Source organism: Homo sapiens, chromosome 7 (genome assembly GCF_000001405.40).
Source record: "Homo sapiens chromosome 7, GRCh38.p14 Primary Assembly".
Classification (NCBI taxonomy): Eukaryota; Metazoa; Chordata; class Mammalia; order Primates; family Hominidae; genus Homo; species Homo sapiens.
In genome coordinates this window covers 120,950,777-120,978,746 of record NC_000007.14, presented here as the reverse complement: position 1 = coordinate 120,978,746, position 27,970 = coordinate 120,950,777, and the positions used below count along the sequence as shown (strand labels likewise).

Below are 27,970 nucleotides of genomic sequence, written 5' to 3'. Positions count from 1 at the left end.
CCTATTCGGGAGGCTGAGGCAGGAGAATCACTTGACCCTGGGAGGCGGAGGTTGCAGTGAGCCAGGATCATGCCACTGCACTCTAGCCTGGGGAACAGAGCAAGACTCCATCTCAAAAACCAACCAACCAACAAACAAAAACAATTTAAAAAAAAAAAAAAAACAGCTAGTTAAGGCCAGGAGTTCAAGACTAGCCTGGGCACACACACTTAAGGCCAGGAGTTCAAGACTAGCCTGGGCAACTAAGTGACAGCCCATCTCTACAAAAAATATAAAAATTAGCCAGTGGTGGTCCATGCCTGCTGTCACAGCTACTCAGGAGGCTGAGGCAGGAGGATCGCTTGAACCCAGGAGGTAGAGGCAGCAGTGAGCTGTAATTGTGCCACTGTACTCCAACCCTGGTGACAGAGTGAGACACTCACTCAAAAGAAAAACCCAGAAATCTGAGGTTAGTTCATCTTTAAATCACTTTAATTTCTCTGTAGCAGAATCAGATCATGAATATTAAGATCCTGGATCAGAAACTACAAACTAGTTCAGCAGTTTTGATTTTATTATCCAAATAAGGAAATCTAAAAATCTTGACTAGCAGTTTTGTCTTTCAAAAATCAAGGGAAAGATCCACCTAAATTTAGCATTTTCCAAGTTACAGATTAATTTTAAGTCATCCCTACTTTATAATCTTAATAAGGGAACATACTTAAATCAGTGATTTCATTGAACTGTTAAAATAATCATAACTACAGTTAACCAACAATATGTAAATGTTACCCTCGACTCCTATAACAAACAATTCCTGCTCTTCATGAATAGACTCTTGCTGGCTTTTGGTTTCTTTCCCTGACACTGTCTACCTGCCTCATGGCCACTCTTTCCAGACTGCCTTAAGTTCCAGAATGCATGTGGCCTTGAAGAGTCTCTTCTGCCTTGAAGGCCATCTCTACTACATCTGTCTTTAGGACTCAGTTCAAATGATAGCTCTTTTGTTAAGTCTTCTTGACTATTTCAGTAATCAATTTCCCTGCCTCCCAGTGTTCTCCCAGTGCTTTGTGTATCCATTACAGCATTCATCAAGATAACACATTTAACATGTCTGCCCCCACCAACTCCCCCCACACACACATATAATACCTTCATCTGTATATTCTCAGAATCTAGGTGCTTAGTATTTGTAAAGTTAAAGAATATTTTTAAGGGTCTTTTTTTCTCTTAAAACCCATCTGCTAAAAAATAAATGTATTTTTATCTGTGAGAGCTGAGGGGAAACCATTGCAATGTCTACACATTAAGGAGTATCTTATACCCCTTTATAACCCAAGTTTGTTAGACATTTATTTGCATAAGATTAAAATAATTAATTAGGTCAATAAGACCATTCCTAAAGTCTAAAGACAAAGGGCACTAATATTGCACAAACCTAAGATGGTTAAAAACCTAAAACGTGGAATTTGCTTTAAAGGAGAAGAGAACAAAAAAATATAAACTGCCCTTGAAAAGAATGATTGTATGCTTATCAAACACTCAGCCTCATTTTGGCATTTAATTAAGCCATTTATTGCTTCAAATGTGTCACCATGAACATTTTGATATACACTCCATAGCAGTAAGGCCTCAATTTTCACCACCTGTGAACTGTGAACCCACATTTGGATATTTTGTCCCAACTGTTACATGAGTTTTGTACAACAGAGATTTTGAATGTGTATTTTATAATACCAAAAATACTTACTATGCCCCTTGGTGTAAATGTCACAAAGAATATTAATAGTTGGCCACATTTTTGGGGGGTTGATGAGGTAGTTCCATGTTTGGCCCCATTATATATGACTCAGATATTAACAGGTTCTACCCATTACTAAATACCTGCACCAAATTTTGGTTTCTTTCTTTACACATGCTTCATAAAATATTCAGTGTTTGAGTTTAAAACTTGTCAAAGTGTTTTCTAAGTGATTTGGTAAGGAGTGGAATTCACACTGAAAGGGGATGTAGCAGCTGGATAACAGGATGTTCCTGACTCAGACAAAGAACTTTCTCTTCAAATAAGGCTGTACATAAGGCTTTTTCCTTTGACCATTTCTATAAAATGAATGAGTTTGGAATAGTCATAATATATAGAGGATGTAAATGATACATGTGAGCATTTCCAGGCAATATACTTTGATAAACGAATTGAATACTACATTATTTATCACTTCTTAAAGGGTTATAAAATCTCAAAATATTGAGTATCATGAAATCGTGATAATCATGATATTATGAAATGATGAGTACTCACAAATGAACCTAACTTGTTTAGGGAGCTGGTAGAGTTGTATAATCAGACTGTGGCAGCTCAGAATCATGGGATCTCAAAGGTGGAAGAGATCTTTGAAATCCCCTATCTACCTCACACCCTTTGGGTAGCACTGCATAGATTTTACACTGTTATCTGAATAAGTTCTAAGAAGCTCATAAGTGGTTTAATTAAAGCAGAAATCTGATGGACCCAGTAAGTTTCAATATAAAATATATATGATATATTAAGTATCTTAAAAGTTAAGGATTTTTCTATCGACCAGACTCAATATTATACTTTAAATAAAACCTCCACTATGCAAATTTATAATTTAAATAGCACCTTAGAATAAGATCTATTCTGCAGTCAGCATCACCCTGGTGTAGTAAGGCCCAGAGTGATACAAAATTTGAATTAACTGTCATATCAGTAAGTGGTAGAATCAAAAATAGCTCAATTTGGAGCTCCCGACCAGGGGGGTCTCTTTACTCTATTTGGCTACATTGCCTCCAGTCAAAACACCCATAACCATTATTTTCGTTTTAACTGCTATACTTACACTTCTTTCATGTCTTTTAGACTGAAGGAAAAGCCAGATGATGTTCTTAAAAAAATACATTGGCATTTCAAATTTACATTAAAAATGTCTTTCCTGTATTCTTATATCACAAACTCTAAACATCATTAAAGACATCACAGATTACACAGTATTCTGTGTCCTGGGTCTCTGATTCTTTTTAGATTATGAAAGTTGAAAGTTAATTGGAATTCAGAAATTTTCATTATTAAGTATGTAAAGTATAAATACAAGTAATTTTTTAAAAACTTTATTTTAACACCTAATACAATTGCAATTTTAAGGATTACTTGCACAAAAAAATAAACACATTTGGTATAAAAATGTATCACTTTAACGCCCTTTCCCCTTCAGTCCCCCGCCCCCTCCCTCATGAACTGCACTCTATCTGGATGCAGAAACATAGAAAGACTAATGGCACAAATTACTTTTTACCTACAGGAGTTTCTGTTTATGTACCCAGGTACTCTAGAGGATACCAGCCCACATTATCACATGAACCATTTCCTTCAGCCTGCTGAATTAGTTTCACAAAGAAACAAAGCTTATTATAAAGGCATTTTAAAAACCATTATCTTAAATTCTTTTTAGAAGCACTGACTTTTTTTTTTTTTTGCAACCATTTATATACAGTGTTACATAACAGCTCTGGAGTACAGTACATGCAGCAGAATATACCTGTTGAATATAAAATACTTTCCTTAAAATCTTCATCATTGGAATTCCTTGAAGTCTAAATCATAGAATGCCCATTACTTTGAGAAAATGGTTGAGGAGTACAAATGTCTGCATATGTTGGCCACTGAAATAATCCAAGGCTAACTGGAATAATATTCATAGCACACCAGGAGTGCATAAATAATTTACTTACATTATTAAAATACAACCCATAAAATTCAAGTTCAAGATCTTATAGGATTGTCTATGTAAATCCTTTAAGTGGTTGCCTGGAAATGCATTGTTTCTTCTTTCTCTTCTCTTCTTTTTAAAGTCCTATATAAAATCTTCAGCTGAAGTTTATTTCTTCATCAAACAAAAGGACCACCTTTATTTGTGTCTGCTGCCTCTTCTCTTCATTGCAGCAGTGCACTGTGGACAGTACCATTTGCCTTTTGGTGCCTCTGTCAATCCAACGCAGCCATAATGGAACCATTCTATAGGGCACTAGAAAGCAAAATTGCAAAAAACAAGTTTTCAGTACTTCTGAAGACAAGAGAGTATATTAAAATATGCTCAGGAGACTGAATAATCCATTTAATTTAACAATAATTAGATGTGTGACATCAGAATTTTTAGATCTAGATTATTTAGACATCATTTAGACTAAATGATAAGCTTCAGGAATGAGGAAATGAAGGCACAGAAAAATTATGCATCTTCAAGAATCCTGAGGTCCATGTAATCTAGTCCCCTCATCCTAATGAATGAAAATTCACTAGTTTTCAGCTTTCAAGGGCAAAAAGAAGTGGGATGAATCTTCTATGTAGAAGGTAAATATAACTTAAGATTTTATTTAATAGTCAGCCTTATTTGCTGTCTCATAAAGTAGAATAAGCTGATTGTAATTAAAGACATTAATTTATGTCTTATGCCCTGCATTTCCTACGTGGGTGTTTCTATTCCTTGAAATGTAGAGAAAAATTATTCCTCTTTGAAACATATTAAGCAGAAAACTCTTTCATGAAAGTCTTAGCACTCAGAAGAGCACAACTGGGAATAAGAAGAATCAGAGAAGCATGATGCTGGTACTCATAGAAATCTCATTCATCATTTTCACTAACTGCCCCAGAAGAGTTTACAGTGATGTTCTTGAAATGGTTGGGCAATATTGTTTTTGCAACAACCACAAACAGCCTACAAGGGATTCTAGACAGGGAAACAGAAGGAGGCTCTGTCCCAATCTACGTGAGCATGTTGCTGTAACCCTATCAGGTCTAGGAAAAGTACACATTTTAATGCACCTAGCCAGCTCCCTCAATCTTCAGATTGTTTTACAAATTTAAAACTCTTGTTAATCTTAGGATCCTGTCACTACTAAATAAGGAGGGAGTCAAAATTACTAGACAACAATATTCTCAGTATTGAATAAAAAACGTATCTCTAACTAAAATTAAGTCTCCTAAAAACCAAGAATTCCTTCCTTTCAAATTTCCTTTACTTTTTAGATCAGGGGTGGCTCTTATCAGCTGACACCTGCAGAGTACAGGAAAAAATATTATACTCATGAGAGGAAGATAATCTCACATTAGATCCTCAATTATCCCACCCTTCACTTTAGCACGGTGCAGCCTGAAAGAATGAATTGTTTTAAAATTCCATTTCTTCAATGTGATAAATGAACTGGATTCTAGTAAACACAGTATTTTTTAGTAAAGGGAAAGGAGGGTATTTATAATTTTCATACAACATAACACTTCTGAGACAATCTGCACATAAAACCATAAAATTAGCTTTAAAAATTAAAATAGGGAACACATTAAGGGACACTACCCTATTTTGAAGAGGAATATTCTAGCATTAGCATAATATAACTAATATACCTGCAAACCTGTTTTCTTAGACCAAACCATACAGCAAATAAGACAAATATTCAAGTAATAACAACCTGTGATTTTTTTCATTCCTAAATAGAAAAATGTAATACTTACATCTTGGTTATCACATCCCACCATCTCACCATAAGATACCTAGTTAAAAAAAATTAAATGTCTTTATTATGACTATGTAACAAACACCTAGATACCAATTAACTGTTTATGTATGATACTGCTGGAAAATAAAGGGAAATACACTGAATATACAATTACATTGAGAATCAAGGTATAATAATTTTTTCCTGAAATACTCTTTTGGGCAGGGTGGGGCAAGGGTGGGAAGAAATGCACAGGAATTATCTGCCCTTCAGAAGTCTGGAAGAACTTGACATATAAATCACCCGGATGAAGGAGTCATCTTTCTGGGTAGTTCTTATTGTAAAAATTTTAAGTTCCTTTCTTGATTATTTACTTACTGAAAGTTTTTACTTCTTGGGTCACATTAGGTCATTTATATTTTTGCAATTAATAGTCTCCTTCCTTGAAACTTCTAAACTTATCTATTTTATGTCCTTTCTCATTTTTCTTTTGCTCTTCATCACCAGCACTTTAGGGCATAACTTGCTAATTCTTGAGTTCACTGAAGTTCTCAGTGGATTGAATAATTTTTCAGACAGGATTAACTAGATGGCATATCTTCTGATTCTCTGCATGAGTGAAAATATATTTACATGGTCCTATGCAGAGAAATAACTTCTCTGAATATCAAGTTTTTGGGGGCTCTTAATTTTTCCCTGAAAGCTCTACAGACATATTCCATCACCTTCTAGTTTTTTAGTGTTACAGAGGAAAACTCTAGGTTCAGTCTGATTTTGTTCTTTTGCAAGTAATCTACTTTTGTTGTCAGGATACAGGATATGCTTTTCTATCATTTGTACTGAAAAATGTTTATCGGGTGATAGTGGAACAGCTAACAAATTGTTAAAATTTTTAAAAATCAGACTGGCAACTCATACTGTTAGACACAATAATCTGCTGATAGACTAAGTCTTAAATGTGAAGAAACTGAAGCATGCAAAGAACTAGACAAAACCATATAAAAACTAGGAGAAAATATTATACAAGACAATTTTTTGTAGAAAGAAGAGCCAAAGAGAAAGCCCTTCTAAGTATATAATCCATGGCTTGCTTCATAAAAAAAAATTAACAGTCATAACTACATAAAATTAAAATTTTAGAATTATTTTTAAAAAACTAAATCAAGCAAATATTTAGAGTACATAACAAAAACAATAGAAAAATCAGCCGACACCATTAGGAGTCGATTCATAATGTAAAAAACAAAAATGGTCAAAAAATGTCCAACTTCAATAATACTAGTGTATTTAAAACAATCATAATATAAAACTACCAAATTGGTACTTAGTTTTTAAAAGAAAATAATATCCAGTGTTGGACAGGGTTTAGTAAACCGGTATGTTTATTAATTTTTGGTAATAAATTTCTAGAAAATATATTTTGGTGTCTGTCAAATATTTACAGCCTAATTTTATTTCTAAAAGATTATCCAAGAAATTAGATGTATAAAATGGATTACATTTAAAAAATGCCTATCGTAATATTATCCCTAATTTCAAACAAATTAAAACCACTAATATAATCTATAGCTAGGTATTGGTTAAGAAAACTACACTGGATGGCATAAGAGATAACTATGTGAAAATTAAAAATATGATCTTAAAGAAAAATCATGTTCGGTATACCTGATTTAGAGAAAAAAGCCAGTAACAAGAAAGTATACACTGTGGTTCCTACTGACAAACTTATACACACATGCATGTGCAAATCTGCATAGACACGTGTTATGAAATGCAAGCTTATGTCTCAAAATCATATGTTGAAGCCCTAACCCCCAACGTGACTATAATTGGAAACAGGGCCTGTGAGGAGGTGGTAAAGGTTAAATGAGGTCATAGAGTGGGGTCCTACTCTGACAAGGCTGGTGCCCTTATAAGAAAAGACACCAGAGCACACTCTTTCTCCCTCTATCATGTGAGGACCCGGTGAGAAGGCAGCAGTCTCCATCTAGGAAGGGAGCCCTCCTCCAGAACTGAGTCAGTGGACACCTTGATCTTGGACTTCCCAGCCTTCATACCTGTGAGAAAATTATTTTCTGTTGTTTAAGCTACCCAGTCTGTTGTATTTTATTAAGGCAGCCAATGTGCACATGAGGTATATGGTAGTGGTATACCAAAAATGTTTAGTTACAGGTTGTATCTGAGGGCTAGGATTATGGGTAACATTTTTCTTTATACTCAGTATTTACAGCAAATGTCACTTTTGTAAGAAGGGGGAGAAAAGTATACAAATAAAGCAAAGGTATTTTAAGTGAGTTTAAAAAAGTGCTTAAAAATGAAATAGTTCTCTTCCTTCTAGTTTATTCAGATTATACTTTTATAGATATAACAGACTTTTACCTGATTACAAATGCAGTATCGAGGTTCATTTGGGTCGTAAGTCCAATCAACCTGACTATTTGAATCAGATTCTGGCACTACAGTTGTTTGTTGAGAGATTTCTTGTACAACAGTTGATGATGAAGAACACGATGATAAGGAAGAAGAGGAGGAGGAAGATGATGACTGCTGGCTTGAAGACTTGTTGTTGTTTCTGAAAAAAATAGTATAAGTTTTATTTGCTCACCATCCAGAAGTTAACTGAGAATAACTCCTAAATAAATAGTATAAAATGAAATGACATCAAATGTATAAATTAAAGTGTAAGCTAAAGTAATCCGGATTTACCAATGACTTAAATTGTAGGTAGTACTTTGAAGAATTAACATAAGTTCTGGCTACTTTACAGACATTATTTGTATTTTTTTTTTTTTTTTGAGATGGAGTCTCGCTCTGTTGCCCAGACTGGAGTGCAGTGGCGCGATCTCTGCACACCGCAAGCTCCACCTCCCAGGTTCACGCCATTCTCCTGCCTCAGCCTCCCGAGTAGCTGGGACTACAGGCGCCCGCCACCATGCCTGGCTAATTTTTTGTATTTTTAGTAGAGATGGGGTTTCATCGTGTTAGCCAGGATGGTCTCGATCTCCTGACCTCGTGATCTGCCCACCTCGGCCTCCCAAAGTGCTGGGATTATAGGCATGAGCCACCCCGCCCAGCCACTCATTATTCGTATTTTTAAGTAAACTGAATACTCTTCATCAAAACCTAAAGCACACACACACAAAAACATTTGATGAAAGTGGTTATAACCATCAACTGATGTGTGAATACCTACCATGAGTATGGCAGGGAACCAAGACTGTAAAAATTCACAAGTAATTTACTGCTAAGCCCTATGCTATTTAAATTCTAAAAGTATAGAACTTTATCATAAGAAATTACATTAAACTTGTACCATTAAGATGAATTAATTTTTAAGATGTTTGACACTTCTGTTGTGGTTATTTCATATTGATCGTTCTTTAAGGGATTAATTCACAAAAAATATAACATATTTTAAAATACAGAAAATATAACTACTAGGTAACTAATTATTTTGGCCTAGCATTTGAACTTTCATTATGTATAAACACCCAGCATATTCAGTTACCTGGGATAGACAGTGATAAATGCTATTAGGTTTTCATATTTAAAGCTTATACAGTCATCCCAAGTCTCATATACAAAATCTAGGGATATTTTTACACCATCAGTTTTTGGGACCCAAGACTAAGAATGAAGACGCCTTGCTTGCTGTTAATCAAAATGAAAAATCTTGTTTAAAAAAAAAAAATCACCAGGATATAATTTGCATTGCATTAATTTACCTTGAAACACATGGCAAAATAAAGGGTAATAAATGAAAAGCAGTTCCATAAAATGATTTATCTTAATGAATAAAAGAAGATAAAAAGAAGTCATGTATTAACAAACTCAATTTATGACTCTAGAAAAATTAAAAACAACTCTAACACTTTTTAAAGACTTGACACCTTCAAAGTATGGCACTATAAAATGAAAACCGCATGTCTCCCTACCTCTGCAAGGTTAATTTTAATCCGTTATATCCTGCCTTTAACATAGAGAGGCCTGGCTGAAGTGTCAAGTAGACCAAGTGTTCAGTAAAGGTATAGGGCTACTGTAACAATAAAACTTACTTGCTCTTTCGACCACTCCGTGAGTCGGCTGCTGATGAACTGGCATTCTGTGTTAATGTTGTCATAAGTGCCGAAGATGATGAATAGCCAACTGTTTCCCTGGCCATTGAAAATTCTTTTCCCAACTGAAAGTCATTATTCTTAAATGCTTCATAACTGGCTTTTAAACTTGATGTTCTTCGTCCCTCCTTCATCTTAAATAGACATTCATTGATAGCATCAATATATGTAAATATGTAGATTTTCTTTTTCAAGTTTTACAAATTATAGTTTTATTTTGGTTTATCAAATGTTAATTTATATTGTTTAAACTATTATTTTCATCACTGGAATTTAAGCTTTTTTTTTTTTTTTTTTTTGAGGTGGAGTTTCAATCTGTCGCTTGGGCTGGAGTCTAGTGGCACGATTTTGGCTCGCTGCAACCTCCACCTCTCAGGTTCAAGCAATTCTCCTGCCATAGCCTACCGAGTAGCTGGGATTACAGGCACCCACCAGGCACCCAGCTAATTTTTTTGTATTTTTAGTAGAAATGGAGTTTCACCATGTTGACCAGGCTGGTTTTGAACTCCTGACCTCAAGTGATCCACCTGCCTCGGCCTATCAAAGAGCTGGGATTACAGGTGTGAGTCACCATGCCTGGCCTAACCTTTTTCATTTAAAGATTTAAAATAAGATTTTACACAGTTAGAATATAAACTATGGGATGGGCAGCTTCTTAATTTGGAATATAGGCAAACTATACAGAAGTGAACAAACTCAAGATGACCTAAGTCCAAGGCTACAGGGGAAGCCTTGGAACTGGCAGAAAGAACGAAGAACTATGCTAGCATGTGCTGTGGACTGCAGTCAAGAACATGGGCAACATGAGCAGTTATTGTGAGAAGGGTCTGCATGTAATCCGCATGATAAACCTATTTTTTAGTTTTCATTATCAATCAGGCAATTCCTATGTATTATTTCATTAAATAAAATATCACATATCGTGAAATCATGACTTAAAAATGAAAATATACAACGTTAGAAAACTATTTGTTCACATCCCGTTATTTCTATTAGGTTTCCAATGATTCCGACAAAATGTAACATTTTGTCTCTAAACCCTTTACTTTTTACCTGAGCTGTAGCCTGAACTGCTTGAGCAGCTGCCATGGTAATTGCCCCTGCACCAGTTCCTGAAGATAACGAGCCAATGTTATAGGATCCCAGAGGTTGGGAGGAATTCACATTGTAGGCATTGTTAGAAGAGGCTGTGGAATTATTATTTCGACAACCTGTGTAGATGTAAAAAAGAAATAAAAATGGTTGCAGAGAACATAATGTTAGTGAGTCTAAATTACATTATTTCCCAGCACAGACATATAATCATTAAAATTTTTAATGTCACTTGTACATTAAGTCAACTGAATAATGTATTTGGTTTTCCTTTTTCTTCTTTCTCCATATGTATACTTTAACCAGGTAAAGAAACTGTATGATTCATTAATCCTGAAACACTTTATTTCCCCTTACTCTAACACAAACAAACAAAGCAATCATATTTAAGAAAATTAACTTACCTAGTGTATTTTCCTTAGAGGCATCTGACGTAAGGGTGGATAGAAGAGCTTCAGATTTAAATTTCTTTTCAGGAATATGATCTGTTGTCGTATGGTGAGAAGTTGGATTATATTTCCTTTCTAAATATAAATAAAAAATTCATGTGTTTTTAAACTTTAGAGAACTATGGACAAGGCATAATACTTATATCCAGTTAAAATGTGAAACAGTATGATCTGGGTTCCTCATAAAATACAGAACATGATGTTTCCTCAGAAGGCAGGACAAGCAGAACTCTGTGTCACATGTTTATTAAGAGTAGACTTCTCCACCATTTAAAAAACTTCTAGCAAAGTACTAAAGATAACCCAAGATACACCATGGGCTCACATACAATGTGAGGGAAATTTTGTTTTCAAAACACAATCTACCACTTAAAATAGTTTCCCACCAAATTGATGTGTCAAAAGATGTACTGATATAGTCATTTTTTGACTGTTACCAACCAGCCAGCCAGTCATCTAACTAACAATTCATCCACTCACTGACTTACCAACCATTCAGACTTAATTATATGCCAAACATTAGGTTAAGCACTGGAGAAGCAAGGATGAAAAAGACAAAGGGCCTATTACAAAATAGCTTATTGTTTGGCTCAGTTGAAAAGCTCCCTAAGGAGAATGCTCAGTTGAAAAGCTCCCTAAGGAGAATCAGGTATGTGTATGAAGGGAATATATGCTATTAGTACTATACATTCTCCTTCTACGCATTTAAGAGAAAACAGAATACTCATTTCCGAATCACATATGCTCCCCCCAAGGAAAAAGACAAGTCTGCCAGTACTTGCAATGAAAAAAAAAGAAGGGATTTATTTCTCAATTGGTTGTGTAGAGTTAAAAAAAGAGAACATATAGGTGATATAATAAGGTTTTCATTGTTTTTAAAACTTAGCTGCACTACACCAAACTTACTTTCCACTGGAGTATGTGAATGAGCATGGTGATTGTTCACTGGCTGTGAAGGAGTGTCTAATTCCAAAGATCCTAAAAGAAGAGAGGCACAGAGATACACCACCATTAAATGTCACCGCAGAACTTCACATGTCACTCAACTACAGGCAATGAGTTCCCTTACCCAGCAGAGGACTAGCAAGTTCTGATGCATATGCCTGTATTTATTTTAGCCAGACATGTTAGAGGATCACCACTGTCCATCCCACACTGAGTTATCCTCTCTCTAAACAATAAGTTATCCTTTTCCCAATATTAATCTTAAGTACAAAATGGCTCAAGGCATACTCGTGTCTAATTAGGGAATTCACCATAGTGGGTGCCATATAAATGGATGAATGGACATTGTAATCTCATTACTGGTAAGAGTCAACCTAGTTTTACTGAGTTGAAGACCTTTTAATGGGAGATTCTGAAGTTCTACGTGATGGGGGACATTACTATATGAAAAAAATTATTTGATCATTAAAATGACATTATGATAATAAAGACTTCCTAAAAGAAGTTAGGGATTTTGTTCGCAAAAAGTGAGGAATAGAATCTCTAACACCAAGCTTTAAAATACCTCTAAATACATTTTTCTGGGTTTATTTTTGATCCCTTGAGATGAAATTATGGCAGGGCACAGGGTGGAGCAGTTTTTATAACTTGATCCAATTTTGTTTCATATGTCTGTGTCCTTAGAGAGGATGCTTTATTAACCTTCCTGCAGTACTGAATAGGCATGAATTATCATTACTCACAGCTATCATCAGCATTTTTAAAAAATCAAAGCAGATACAGAATTTTTAATTTTGTCTCAAAATACTTATTATCTTTATATAGGGTTCCTCCAGAAGAAAAGTATCACAAATAAATAGGATGATTATCTAAAGTGATGGATCTACTTTTGAACACAAAAATGCAACTATGGATACCAAGACAGATCTGTGATTGGCTTCCCTAGCTGACTTCTAGTGAGTAGAGAGATACATAGATTGGCACTGTAAAGAAATCTTTCATCTGTGTGTAGAAACAGGTACATATTCTTACTGTTGAAATGCACCAAGAAAAAGAAGGTTTGTAAGTTTTAATTAAATTCTAGTAGAAATTAGCCATAATATTAATTTGGTTCAATTAACATCTAGTGAGTGCCTACTCTACACCTAGTACCACACTAACTGCTTTTATGTACATTACCTATTTAGGTTGAAGAAATGCTAAATTAGTTAAGGAAACAGTGCTCATGCTTCCATTTTTGGGAAGTCACACCAAAGAAGTGACAGGGGTAAGTTATAGCAGGAGATCAAATAGAGCCTTGCAAAGAAATATCAAAATGGTTTCTTGCTGCTAAGGGAAAGAAGAAAACACTTCTTTAAGAAAAAGAGGTAGTGTTATGAAACCAATGTGAGTCTTTTTCAGTATATGCAGTTAAGGAAAAGCCATAAAGTAATTCTTAAGAAGAGAAACTAACAACTTTCCTCAAAGCTTAAGTGTATAAAGAGGCAGAGTAAAGTCAACACACTTAATGCAAGATGGTTAATTTGTCTCCCGATGGTTACATTTCTTTAAATTTGTTCTTACCACTCAACTTACTAGTATATGTGGATATAAAATGATTTAATATGTTGTTTCATAAAGAGTGAGTGGATGATATCCTATATTATCTCTCTCAGTATGCATGACCCAAACATTTCCAACTGTTAGGGTCCAAGCTATCTGGCCTGGATGCCACCATCCATTGAAGGGCAGGATTTCAAAAGCCTCTGTGGGACAAGGTCTTCTCAGCGATTTGCACATGTACTGTCCAATATTGATGGAAAACTGTAAATTTTACTTACGCCTCTCTAATATTTCTGTAATTCCAGCATTATCAGCTTCCAGCTCCATTTTAAACTTAGCCAGTTCCTGATCCAGCTTTCTCAAGTGTCGATCTACCTGTTTCAAAGAAGATCAAAGATAACCACCAAAATTTGGGACACTGTTAAAGTGTCAGCTTAATGAGGAAACCTAAATTTTTGTTTCTTTTAGTGAATCTGCTTAGTATCCTTGAGCAAGTCAATTAATCTATGCCTCAGAGGTTTTTAATCTATAAAATGAGGGTGTTAGGCTAAATAATCTCCCAAGTCTCCTTCAATAAATTTTAAGTTCTAAGACCCAGACTCTCAACTTGTTAGGAAATGTTCTATACTCCATTTTCAGAAGTCAGGACATGAAAATTAAAGCAAAACTGATTAGGGATTAGAGAATGGGAGGAGGGGATGGTGGAGGCTGGTCACTTTTCATAATATGCCCTGTGATTACTTAGAGCCTAATCTCCTCCTGCTTATAAGGCCATCATCCACACTGTCATACGATAAAAGCTATTATTTAGAATGATGAAAGATCCTCAGTCTACAAAGAAGTTCCTATATTCTATACATCTATTACTCTAAGGCATGAGAGTGAATCATAATGCTTGTAAACATTTATGTGAAGAGGTGAAACAAAAGGGATTGTTAGCCAGAAAACTCCATTCCTCAAAGGATCTGGTTAAAATTATTTTATTTATAATACTATTTCCCTAGTTAACTTGGCAAAATTTTATTTTGTCACTGAGAGATCTTTTGACTAATTTCAGAAAATTATATGACACTTCAAACTAACAAAAAATGTCTTAATGTATTTTTTAAACTTAATATTAAATATTTTAATATTTTTTCAAACTCATTACTTTGAAGTGAAACCAAAAAATACACAAATTCTTTGAAAAATATTCATGTCACATTATTGATAACATCCTTTTCTAAGTCTAGTTTCCCACTGGATTACTGCTAGAATTAGAAATAACTTTCTTACAGATATCAACATGTGCTATGATACTCTACCAGGGCAACATTTTAAGTAAGGTTTAGAATTAAATAATGTGTAACTAACATGAGGAAGAAGGGGAGAAAGGTAGCAAAACACAATGTGCATGGGTTAGATGCCTATGAAGAGGAGGTAATGTGCTTGACGCATCAGATGACCTATCTTTTCTAGCCCTCGATCTGATCTTTTGAAGTTATTACTGTCTCTACTTTATAGGTGAAGAAATTAAGGCTCGGAAGGGTTACTTAAGTAATATGCCCAAGGTCATATAGCTAATGCATTACAGAAACCAAATTTAACTTTATTTGTAACAAATTCTGCTTTGCCATTTACCTGACATTGACCTCTGAACTTTCTGCATGCAGAAAACAACTGTTTTTTTTTTGAAAAACATTCTTCAGAATAATATAACTCAAGTATAAAAACTAGTAATATTGTCCTATTATTTGTATTTTATATATTAACAACAATCATTAGGGTGTTGGTTTGTGATTTTTTCAAAAACTGAAAGCCAGTTTTCCTTCTACCTTTACACACACATTACTTTTCAGAGTTCTAGAATATTTAAAAACCTATAACATCACATATTATGGATACTTGCTCCTATTCAAAGAATCTGCAGGTAATTGAGCATCCTTTAATGGAACTTCCTTTCCAATAATAGTGTGAACACAGACGTCTGTTATTTGAGCATACCTCTTTCATTGTCAAAATTTAATCTCAAGGGAAATCAGAAAAAATATTCATATTTAAGTTCCAAGACCACTAATGCAACGAAAACACTCCATTGCTTTTTGTACCTACAATTATACTAATAATAAATATTGAGCTATTACGTGCTTGGTGCTGGATTAAATGGAGGATATATGAAGAATGGAAGAGAATCATTGCCTTCATAGGAATTAGAATTTAGCTGACAAATCAAGATTTATATATGATTTTTAATATAATAAGGGATAAAAATATAGTCTAGATGTCACAAATAAGCAACAGTTCAAAAAGAGTCAGAAGTTGTACATAAAAAAGTAACACTGGTAGACACGAAGGAGGTACGAATTAAGACGGTGAAGATGGATTGTATTCAAATAGAAGGAAAAAAGGAATCACAATAAAAAATGTAGAGACAGAAAGACAAACAGTATGCTTAGAGAAAAACAAAGTATGATGTAGCGTGTAATATGTATATAAAGCACAGTGAGCAAGAATGTTAGGTTGAGGGGGTAGTGTTAGGGTGAGATAAAGACCTTTCTTTTTCATACCATACACCTTGCCCTAACTCACTTCACCTCTGCATTTAAGGATTGTTTCATTTTATTAAATATATTATTGATAAAGTTCACTACATATGAAAATGTTAAAAATAATGACAAGACTTTCAATACTAGATAGCTCAGAAAAGGCACTAGAACCTAAAGGGTTAATAACTCTAAAAACCAAATTCATAGTTAAAATAAACAAAGACAGAAAAGCCTTAACCACTTGTGGTAGGCATCTTTATAAGACGGCTTCCAATCATTCTTACTTCCTCATATGTAAAAGAGATTATGACCTGATTAATATTATAAGCAATTATTAGGCAATGAGCATTATTTTTCTTCTATTTACTACTGCTGTACTAAATCAAATTAGAAGTTGGAAAGTCCCATTGACCACAAGAATTAACTTAAGCTATAAAGCACTAGGATATTTAAACAATATTAAACAGCCATAATAAGAGCTGTGAACTTGCCTGAAATCCATCATGTGCATTCCCTCAACCTACATGATTCTGAACGGTTACAGCACCTCTTCTAGCTGATCACCATGTTGTCCCCACAGGCATCAAGCAAAGCAAGGATGTAAGTTACCTCACCCTTCCACAAACATCTGCTTTCATAAGACTGATTTACAATAGTAAAGAGGGTACTGATCCAATTGAGAGATTTTCCATTAGCCACAGATTCCTAAAACAGGGCTAACCACAGAGTCTAATTATTTCTTTTTTTCCCAGTTAATGTCAACAAGTGCTATAAACAAAGTTTCCTTGCCCTATAATCCCAAATCATATTCTACAACCCCAAATCATAACAGCTTTAAGTTTAAACTCCTATAATTTTTCTAGCCTCTTTAAAGACAAAGGATATTCTACCAACATTACTTGTTAACACACTCATGATCATAGCAAATTTAAGTCATACTTGGCCCCTCTGCACAAAACAAACAAAAAATCCTTCATCCTATAATATTTGCATAGAGTTGTAATCTTTGACTCTTTCTTTTTTGACTCTCTGGTTTTCTAATATTCACATTTAAAGTGTATCACTAATGGACCCAAACAAAACTAAATACAGCTTTTTTAAAGTCTCTACATGATCTACTGCTTCCAATACAATCAATTTATAAAATTTAGATGTCTAGCTTGCCCTATCGGAAGAGGCAATCAAGTCTGTTACATTCTAAGTTGAAATAGACAGCAGTAAGTTAAATTTCTAACCATGAAAAGGTCTAGTAATAGCGAGTAAAGAGGGTAAATTGGGGAAGAAGAAGAAACCATGATAGCAAAGTATTTCTCAGATAACAGGTCATGAAAATGATTCTTTATATCTCTAAATTAGATTTAAACTAGATGAAAATGTGACCTATTGTTATGCTGAAACAAATACTTGAGAGGCCTTAGCATATAACTCTGTCTAATCATCTTCCTGAAAGACAATAAGGACAGGACAGAAATCAAAAGGTCAAACTCACATATTTCCTTAATTAGAGTATCAGATGAAAACTCTCAAATTTATAGGTAAAATGTGCATCTGAAATATAACCATCTCAGGAACAGGCCAGGATATAAAAAAAGAAGCAAGTTCAAGGGTATTGAGCACTGCAAGAGACTGCTAAAATCATTCAAGCATTAACTAAAAGCTCAAATTTTATCAGGGTATGTATAAATCAACTTTATTAGGTATTGCAATCCAATACATCCTTATGACAGTGACATCTGGCTGAGAAACACAAATAAGTATTTAACAACTATTTATGAGTATCATGCTTCTAGAACAAAACTATTTTAACAGGATAGATTTTTGTGTGTGTTAGTCAAATTTCACTAAAACGGCTACTAAAATAAACTGTCAGTTTCTTCTACCGGAACCCTAAAACAAATTTCTTCATTGATAATATGTTGATAATATGTAGTTTGGTTTATTCCTTAATAAATGAGGTGACCAGTGCAGTGATGGTCACAGGAAAAAAAATGTTTACTACTGGTTTAAAAGTAAATAAAATATTTCAATGAAAAAATACAACAAAATGCAACGCCATATAAAACACTGAGGGATAAAATCAAACATAATTGCATACTATGGTGATGTACCATAAATTCTGTAAAAGTAATACATGCTTATTTAAAATTCCTATAATATAATGTTTAAGCAAAGGCATACCTACACAAAATCTCTTTTAAGGTCTATATTCCACGCCTCTGTTTAAAGTCCTTCACTGGCTTCCCACCGCTTTAGACTAAGAATCACTCTCCTCCTAGACTGGCTCGCAAGGCCCCCATGCATTAGCTCCTGCCTGCTTCCTTTCATGCTGCTCCTTTCCCATTACAGACCACAGACCAACCACCCCGGCCTCTCTCTTGGTTCAACTTGCCAAGTCTTTTCCACTCCAAACTTTGCCCTTGGTATACCACGTGCCTGAAACATTCTTTCCTTAGCTTTTCCAACAGGTGGTTCTTTCTTATTTTCCAAGTACCACCTCAAACGTCATCTCCTTAGACTACATTCTTAACAGCCTTCGCCAGTTATTCAATTGTCTCTCCCTTTCTCCCCCTTCCTCTCTTTCTACAATGTTTATTTCCTCCTGTGTACTTATCGAAATCTAAAATAGTCTTTATTTAATAGTTTGCCAGGCCAGGTGTGGTGGCTCACGCCTGTAATCCCAGCACTTTGGGAGGCCGAGGCGGGCGGATCACGAGGTCAGGAGTTCGAGACCATCCTGGCTAACACGGTGAAACCCCGTCTCTACTAAAAATACAAAAAATTAGCCGGGCGTGGTGGTGGGCGCCTGTAATCCCAGCTACTCGGGAGGCTGAGGCAGGAGAATGGCATGAACCCAAGAGGCGGAGCTTGCAGTGAGCCGGGATAGCGCCACTGCAGTCCAGCTTGGGCGAAAGAGTGAGACTCCGTCTCAAAAAAAAAAAAAAAAAAAAAAAAAAAAAAAAATGTGAGGAAGTGACAAGGAGTATAGGGTGACTTTCAGTGCCCTAATCTGAATGACTACAAGGTCAGTGTGGTTCATGTGAGATTTAGAAACAAAAAGTTGGTGATGGGGCAGGGGAGGGTAGTTAGAGAAGAAAAAGGAGATGCTTTGAGTTTTAAATTTCAAAACACTGAGTTCTAGGGCCTGGGAATAGTCAGCTAAGATTAAAAGACTCAAAGAAACAGCTTGGGCTTCAGGAATAATTAACGTATAATTGTTAACACTAAGAGAACACATGGAATTGCAATAGAGGAGTGTCTCTCAACTTGGGTGGTGTGCAAAGGTTGGGGATAAAACTTGCATTTGAAAGAACAGGTCTTTACGCTGTGGAATTTGTTCTTCCTGGCCCTCTTGGCAGGTAGAAGAGGGGAAGACAATCACCTTCATGTGAGAACCACTTGAAGAGTAAGAAACCATGTAGGTCAAGGACAGAACCCTGAGGAACACCATCATTATGAGCTGTACCCAAGAAGGAGACTAAGAAAGGTCACAAAGGTGGGAGCATCTAGAGCAGGCAGTCACATGGTAATACAAGGTCAAGAATGGCAAGACAAAACGAATGGCAATAAGCATTAAATTTACCAATAGGGTCAGTTAAAAAGAATTGAAGCTGTCTGATGAATTTAGCAATAAAGAATTCATTAAATGAAGTTATAGAGGATTAGTAAATAGAACCCCAATTGCCATAAATTTAGGAATAAATTGAAGGTAAGGGAGTGTCAAAGAGTCTGAATGAGAAATTAAGGAAGACTACACTAGCTAAAGCAGAGTCACGGTCACGACACGATTTATATTAGATTGCCTGAGTTCTTTTTAAATATGAGGAAGACCTGAGCATGTTTAAATGCTGTGGTATAGAAGCCAATAGAAAGAAAAGAGGCTAAAGATGAAAAAGAGAAGGCATAAGTGATGAAGCAAAGATGCAGCAAGTAAAAACATGCCCTAAGGCAGCAACAATGTGGAAGGTACCTGTAAGAAAAGTGGTCAAGAGCTCAACCAGTCTCTTGATTGAATAGGAAAGGGCTGATAAAATAGGAGGAAGTGTAGACGCAAGAAGTATCAGAGGCAGGGCAATTCCAAGTGATGATCAGGTTCAGTCTGTGGCGACTGAAGTGGATTAGCATTTACAAAAGCCAAAGAAGTAGATGACTAGGTAGTATAAGATGATTGCAACAGAGAACTGTGAACCGGGTACCAGTTTTTCAATCTGAGCCTCACCTAGAAGCCATTAAATTATAGTGATAAGAGGCAGAGGGTAACTGAGATGATTATCACTAAGTCTGAAAGAGAAGGGATTTTTTATATTAAGGATATAATGTTCACCTGAAATAGGATTAAAGTATTTAAAAAGAAAGGCAGGGAAGGAGAAAGGGAAAAAGAAAAAAAATAATAAAAAGGAAGAGGGTAGAGCAAAGGTGGGGGCAGAAAAGAAAGGGTGGGGGAAGAAAAAGAAGAAAAGACAAAAAGAAGCCTCAGAGATACTAGGAGAGTGAGAGACAGCAGCTTCCACTTGGCAGAGTTGAAAGGGAAGCAGTGGCTTCAGGAAAATAGAAAATTCCAGTTCAGGAAATGAGATGGACTGAGTTCTTAAAGAAGGAGCAAATCCTACTATCTGCCAAACTAATAGCATTGTATGTATTCTAATGCAAACCCTTCAGTAAGGTATAAATTAATATTGCTTTTTTACAGCAGGAAACTGTGGTTCAAGATTAAATAACTTTTCCAAAGTCATGGTGTCAGTGAAATGGCTGAGCTAGGGTTTGAACTCACATCTGCATGGATCCATTATGGACACTTGCTTTCTGTTGTATTTCTTATGCTTTATTAAATTTACTACCTCGCCTTTATTACTTCACTCTTTAGCCTTGGAATCTATCCCTTCTCAATTAATTTCTGAATTTGTACTTTCCTTCTGTTTATGCCATTATCTCTGAGTGAAATGCTTTCCCCTCAATACAATACCTAATTCAGGACCTTGACTTTCTAAACAAACTCTGTTCAAAACTCTTCCTATACCCTCTAAGAAATCAGTAAGTAACTCTGCATGACTTACTTCAATGTTTTTCAGTAGACACCCCTTAATATTCAACTGGTTAATGTTTATTACATGTTTCTGTATGGATTCTCCACTTTAGTTTGCAGGTATGTCTGCCCCACAACAGTAGTTTACAGACACCTTGAGGACAAGAGCCATTTCTAGTATTACTTTTTTTTTTTTTTTTAAGACAGAGTCGCTCTCTGTCGCCCAGGCTGGAGTGCAGTGGCGCGATCTCTGCTCACTGCAAGCTCCGCCTCCCGGGTTCCCGCCATTCTCCTGTCTCGGCCTCCCGAGTAGCTGGAACTACAGGCACCCGCCACCAGGCCCGGCTAATATTTTTGTATTTTTAGTAGAGATGGGGTTTCACCATGTTAGCCAGGATGGTCGCGATCTCCTGATCTCGTGATCTACTCTCCTCGGCCTCCCAAAGTGCTGGGATTACAGGCGTGAGCCACTGCGCCCGGCCTAGTATTTACTTTTTATTCCTCCATTAGACCCAGGTACAGCTCCCTTTTTTCAGGCACAGAGTGGATGAACAGTGTGGTTTTTAAATAAGAGATGAATACACACACACACATATTTAAAAAGCATATATTTATGTTATATTTTTTCTAAATACACAAAATATCTTTAGTAAAGGTCTAACAAGCAATAAAACAACAAAATAATAAACAAAACAAAGAATAGAACCAAAGAGCTATATGAATTAAAAAGCAGGCAGTCTCTAAATAAGGACTGATACATACAGTCATTGAATATGAGGAAGAATGTTACTAAACAAATTAGTCTAGATTCAAATGTAAATGCCTTTTTCTAAGTTTATAGACATAATTAAAGACTGAAACAATTAAGACCTTTTTTTTTTTGGTTTTTATTCCACAGTAAATCAAGCTACAGCCTATTCTACCTATCTTTAGGCAGTGTCTTTTATGAAATTTTTTTCAGAATAACTCTATGAACAAAAGAGCCCAGGTTGTTAGCACCATTAAAATGTGTGTACTACATAAAAACAACTAGACATTTTCCATGGCTCTACATGACACATTTTCAAGTTTGTGGTATAAGCATTTACAATTCACACCATATGTGGTGTTCACCTTTTATCTTGTGTCCTGCTCACCAATGACATTTTACTTACACGTACTTGTTCAGTAATAAATCTGTACCCAGGAAAGACAACATAAGTATGAAATCTATACACTGAAGTTAGCCAAAAGTGAGCATGTGTTTTCTGCTTTAATTTACTTTAATGCAAAAACAGAAATGACTATTTCTTAAAGTGTATATTTTAGGAGAAGATGTTTCAAATGAAAAAGAGCACCACAATTGCATCAATATGAGAAATAGTGAATATTCTATCTATCTTCTTGGTGTTTTCAATCTTTTAGAAGTGCTGCTGCAAAAAAAGAATCTTGTTTAAAGTTTGTCATCTTGTATTGCTTAAACAACTGACACAGCTGTTACATACGATCTTTTAACATCACTCACATAAACACTGATTCAAATGATTCTTCTTCATTTTAATCAGACTACCAAGAACTCTTGTCAAAGCAGTCTTCTTAGGTGTATTTTACCACAGAAACAATCTCAAAATGATGTATAAGGCAAGTAAACACACTACCTTAAGAAGACAAGGATTAGTAAAATAAAGTTAAACATTAATTCTTGTTTAAAAAATATCTAACATCAGAAACCACCTTACCGCCGTATAGACTTGCTAAAATGTACAGTTCTCACCACATTAACTAACCACTCTGACTTTTCCACAAAGAAACCATAAAATGGACACTGAAATGTCAAATTAGATGTGATCAAGAGAGCAATACTTCAGTTTTAGTTGCTTCTTCCTACTACATTTAAGCCAATACAATTTAAGATATAATCTGTTATTCAAGTACTTATGGCACAGTATGCACATTACTTTTACTTACCAAGTCATATATCTGGTTTGCCAACTGAACCTTCTCATCTGCATCTTCCAAAGCTTTATAGTAGTCCTGAATGAAAACATTTTCATTTCAAAAATAAATTAATCATTTTAAAATATTCATATGCAGGACATACAACTGCATTTTCATTATCATATCTTGTTATCACAGTCATCCTACCTTAGTAATAAAAAACCTGTTAGAGGCCAGGGGCAGTGGCTCACGCCTGTAATCCCTTTTGGAGGCCAAGGAGGACGGATGACTTGAGGTCAGGAGTTTGGGACCAGCCTGGCCAACATGACAAAACCTCATCTCTACTAAAAATACAAAAATTAGCCGGGCATGGTAGTGGGCGCCTGTAATCCCAGCTACTCAGGAGGTTGAGGCACAAGAAGTGCTTGAACCGGGAGCCAGAGGTTGCAGTGAGCCGAGATTGGGCCACTGCACTCCAGCTTGGACAACAGAGCGAGACTCTGTCTCAAAAAAACAAAAAACAAAACAAAACAAAAACCTGTTAGAAATAGGGTGGGGATGGTATAGGATTAGAAACTATGCACAATGGCCAAGAGTAAAAGGGAGATGTTCAGAATTTCTAGAAAGGATATAATTAAAAGTAAATGCCATTGTAAGTCTAGAAAAAGCTATATGAGTTAATGAACAGTATTTAAAATAAAAAGTTAACTAAAATTGATCTAACTTGTAAAGTACATTTGCATTCCATTAAAAAATTTTTGTTAAAGTTCAGCTATTGAAAGGATTCTGATCTGCATTTCCCCATTTTCCAGTTGTTCTATAACTCCCACTTTAAATTAGGTATATATTCATACAACTCAATCTGTATTTTAGATTTTGCCTCAACTTATTAAATTTTTTTTTAAAAAAGAGGGGGAAAGAAGATGATACTATGAATTTCCATGGAGTACTAGACTTTTCAGGGTATACTTAAGGTGCACTCCACAGGTTAAAGAAATGATTAGTGACTCTGGGATGTGGATATAACATGTCTTTACTCACAAACACATGTCCCTCCAGGTATCTTCCAAGCTAGGACCACTTCTGTTATAGATTATGATTTTTTTTTTTCCTAAGAGAAACAATCTTCCCTCCATGTGGTAGAATAAATAACATATCATAACAGAACTACTCAATTTGTAGTTTCCAAATTTCTTCCTTAGTGGACCCTTTTTTTTTTTTGAGACGGAGTCTCACTCTGTCACTCTGTTGCCCAGGCTGTAGTGCAGTGGCGCGATCTAGGCTCACTGCAACCTCCACCTCCTGGGTTCAAGTGATTCTCCTGTCTCAGTCTCTCGAGTAGCTGGGATCACAGGCGCCCACCACCACGCCCAGCTAATTTTTGTATTTTTAGTAGAGACGAGGTTTCACCAGGTTGGCCAGGCTGGTCTCGAACTCCTGACCTCAGGTGATCCACCCGCCTCAGCCTCTCAAAGTGCTAGGATTATGGGTGTGAGCCACCACGCCAGGCCTCTTAGTTGATCCTTGAACAATTCTATGAACATTGGGTTTAGGAAGGCATTATTATTCAGAAATATTAAGATTTAATGTCACACAGCTAAATAGCAGAATCATGACCAAACTCAAGTCTTTTAAGTTGTTTTTCCAATGTATCCATCCCTAAATGAACTCAATCATACTTTCAAAGCAAACTTTGAGATGTACGTGTATACTCATTCAATTCTGGAAGACAGCTATAGCCACTATAAAACTAACAAAACCTCAAAGAATTCTATGTTTCCAGACCAATTCGTGTGCAAATTTAGAGTTTAAACTAGAAGGCTTTCTTAAATTCCTTCTAACTTTTAAGATTTCGTTCTTCTGTGGGTCCACTAATTTAAGTACCTAGCAATATATAAAATATTCTTCAAGGTCTGCTCATGTTTATTTACCTAGTTTGTGGCCAAAACTGGAATACAGTACTCTATCTCAACTAGAATAAAACAAACTAATAGAAAAAAAAGTAACTTTTAAATGGTCTGTCACTTTCTAATACTCAGTAATTATTGAAACAATATTTTTAATTACCAAAACGCTTTAATGACTAAAAATCCCTATCTGAAGCTCTAAACCACAATAAATTATTTATATTCTAAGGAGTCATTGATAATATTCTCTCATTTTGATATCCAGACCACTATTTAATTTTGAAATATCTTTTTCAGAGGGTCCCAATATTTCTTGATAAATTATCCAAAGTGTTGCACATACTTTTTTGATGGATGCCATTTGCTCTTCCCTCCACTCAGGTTTATTTTTCTTTGCATTCATAAAGAATTCACTGACTCTTTGTTCTAGTTGATCCATTGCATCTATGACATAATAAAAAAAATTCATATTAAATGACCAAATTCATATACTAAATATACATGGTTTGATTTAGGGAGGGAAAAAATCTGACAATACACACTCTTTCACCTTGCCAGTAACTTAAATATGTTATGCTTTGATTGTGTAAATATATAATGCCTCAATTATCTTCCTTTAAAAAGTTACAATTTTCCTTATTGACAGATTATTTTTGTTTTTGTTACTTCAAAATTTTTTCCAACAGCCAAAGTAGATAGGCTCTATACTATAATTTTTGAGCAATAAAGCCTTTAGGTCAAAAGCTAATGGTATTAAATCAGACAAATGTACCGAAACACAATTAAAACACCATTAGATAATCCTCACATTTCTTTTAACAAGAAAAAGTGATAAAAATATTTGGTATATGGCATTAAACATCTCATCATGTCATATCCCAACTGAAAGTAGTAGGTACAATCATTTAAACATTAATTCTAGGTAAGTTTTCCCCAAATTATATGCCAAGACTAATCATCTCATTGGATGTCTGCTAAAAAAAAAAAGGAAAAATTAATAAAAAAGATTCTGTTGTTATGTAAGTTGAGAAAAATCTTTTCATAATATACTTCTTTTGGAGATTTCCAGTCCACAATAGCCTTTTAAAGACTCTATGAAGTCCTATGGTTAATTTTTTAGAAGTATGTTCCTTTGTTTAAATAAGCATTTCTGAATTTATTTGGCACACAGTTCTGTTAATCCATAATACCTATTAACTTTAGAAAATTCTAGTTACTGTAAAGAAATGCACGTTTAAAAAGCCTGTAATATGTATAATGTAAGCCCAAATTACAAGAGAATTTAAAATTTTAAACAATAAAATATAAAAATAATTTAAAGTAAGTTACCCTTTATTTAATGCCTACTTTGTATCAGATACTAGAAATTCTAATCCATGTGTAACATTTTAAATCCTTGGATGATTCTCTTTTTATAGACAATGTAAGCCCCTCACAAGTGATAATACAGTCAGAGTCAATGAGTAAATTAGTAAAGCCCTAAAACAAACTCAGATCTGACATCAATGTCTGTGCTCAGTCCTGCAGAGAACACTACTTCAGCAAATCTTCAGCATTTCAACTACACTAAAATTAAAATGAATTTGTGAGATAGCTGGAGAACCACACACACAATTCATACTTCATATCACAATCCACTGAACAGAAAGTGGCTTCCATGCCACCACTTTTTATTATGTGCCACCTGAAACTTACCGGAAAAATATACTCATAAGCAAAGGGTATAGAAGTGGGTGTGTGGTCATGGGCAGAGAAGCCAGGAGCAGTGAAAAGGACAGGTTCTTAGCTGCAGCAGGTGGTCCCTGAGCCACCTATTTATAGTCGTTGCTCTATGAAAGAGCAAAGTTAATTTGGGGAAAAAGTCCTAGAGACTACCAAGCTATCACTGAAAGAAAAAGAAATGTTCATTAACTGCTAAAATTTTTAGTACAGCACATAAGAAACTTTACAGTGAAATCTAATTTCTGTCACTCATTTTAACCAAGAAAATGACGATTCTGTTACAATTTAAAATGTATCTAATGTGTAACTAAGTTTTCAAAATTTGACATTTGCCATGGTCTCTAAAGAGCTATATATAACCTCTGCTTCTGTGCTTTCCACTCTTGAAAAACTGTGAATAGGATGAACTTTAAAATAAGTATAAATGCTGAAATCTAAGTTCGATACGAAAAGGCTCAAGACGACATCTCAACATTTATTATGCTGACGTCCATTGAAACATAGATAACTATGTCAATGACGGTAGAGAAATATTTTTTGCACAATCCCACATTCTAGAAAGGAATACACGTGTCCCAATGCCTCCTGCTCTTGCAAAAGCCAGAAAAAAGTAGCATGGGAGGGAAGGGGAAGGCGAGATTCAGGGCTGCCAGTTCTTTTTGACAACTCCTTATGCACTAGCGGAGTGAGCCAGAGGACAGTGAAAGAGCACTAGGCGCTAGCAGTGATGACAAGCAAGTCTGGCACTGAACGCGCGCAGCGAACAGGAGTAGTAGACGCGCCGACTTACTCTGCACCTGCAGGTCCATCTCGCGCATTTCCGTGAAGCGGTCCCGCAGATCCATAGGAAGCTGCTCAATCACTGTCAAAGGGAGAGTCCGTCAGAGGGGCGGGGCCAACGGCGAAATACGCGCTTACGTCACTGCGCGCGTGCGTCAGGGGGGTCGAGGGGGCCGGCAGCCCACAACGAGGCTGCCAGTTACCGTGAGAAAGAAACATCCCCCGCCGCCCCCTCCCTCCCGCCATCTCGCTGCCCGTCCACTCGCGCTCTTGCCCGCCCGCACGTCCCACTGGCGGCCGCCGCCAGCGCCGCGCACTCACTTTCCAGATAGTCTTCTAGGTACAACATCGCGGCCCTTAGAGCTGAGGGAACAAGGGGGTCCAGGGGTTTATTTGTGTCACTCGCTGTCGCCGGAGTTTTGTCCCCTCCAATATGGCGCCTCCGCTAGCAGCACCCGCTCGACTCCGG

The 27,970-nt window shown here is 35.7% G+C and overlaps 1 protein-coding gene and 1 long non-coding RNA gene across 5 annotated transcripts, besides 1 other annotated feature; one reads left to right on the top strand and one right to left on the bottom strand.

The window, feature by feature from the left end:
• ING3 (inhibitor of growth family member 3) lies at window positions 1,531-27,970 on the bottom strand. 4 transcript variants are annotated; one of them, NM_019071.3, is made up of 12 exons: window positions 27,823-27,970; window positions 27,512-27,583; window positions 25,343-25,443; window positions 23,123-23,188; window positions 13,909-14,005; window positions 12,050-12,121; window positions 11,099-11,218; window positions 10,656-10,813; window positions 9,543-9,736; window positions 7,867-8,059; window positions 5,504-5,542; window positions 1,531-4,019 (listed from the first exon to the last, which is right to left on the bottom strand). In NM_019071.3, the coding sequence occupies exons 1-12, from the start codon at window positions 27,848-27,850 to the stop codon at window positions 3,903-3,905; spliced, it is 1,257 nt and encodes a 418-aa protein (NP_061944.2). In that variant the 5' UTR covers window positions 27,851-27,970; the 3' UTR covers window positions 1,531-3,902. The 4 variants fall into 4 exon arrangements, with proteins under 4 accessions (NP_061944.2, XP_047276491.1, NP_938008.1 ...); XM_047420535.1 differs by lacking the exons at window positions 1,531-4,019; window positions 5,504-5,542; window positions 7,867-8,059; ... (2 more) ...; window positions 11,099-11,218; window positions 13,909-14,005; NM_198267.2 differs by lacking the exons at window positions 1,531-4,019; window positions 5,504-5,542; window positions 7,867-8,059; ... (3 more) ...; window positions 12,050-12,121; window positions 13,909-14,005 and adding an exon at window positions 21,767-22,587.
• On the top strand, window positions 7,402-13,491 carry LOC124901734 (uncharacterized). Its single transcript, XR_007060492.1, has 3 exons — window positions 7,402-7,546; window positions 12,914-13,044; window positions 13,276-13,491. It is a non-coding gene; the product is annotated as an uncharacterized LOC124901734 (long non-coding RNA).
• Window positions 27,348-27,427: an enhancer, noted in NCBI's record as "active region_26555". NCBI's record gives its function as "activates an Ori minimal core promoter by ATAC-STARR-seq in GM12878 lymphoblastoid cells {active_cell/tissue: GM12878}" and the evidence as "EXISTENCE:reporter gene assay evidence [ECO:0000049][PMID:35858748]".

Coding starts and splice junctions, on each gene's coding strand:
- ING3 (NM_019071.3), bottom strand. CDS start 27,850: ATGTTGTACCTAGAAGACTATCTGGAAA. Junction 12,122..13,908: donor TACAGAAATATTAGAGAGGC/GTAAGTAAAATT, acceptor CTCTTCTTTTAG/GATCTTTGGAATTAGACACT. Junction 10,814..11,098: donor CTCTAAGGAAAATACACTAG/GTAAGTTAATTT, acceptor ACATCTACACAG/GTTGTCGAAATAATAATTCC.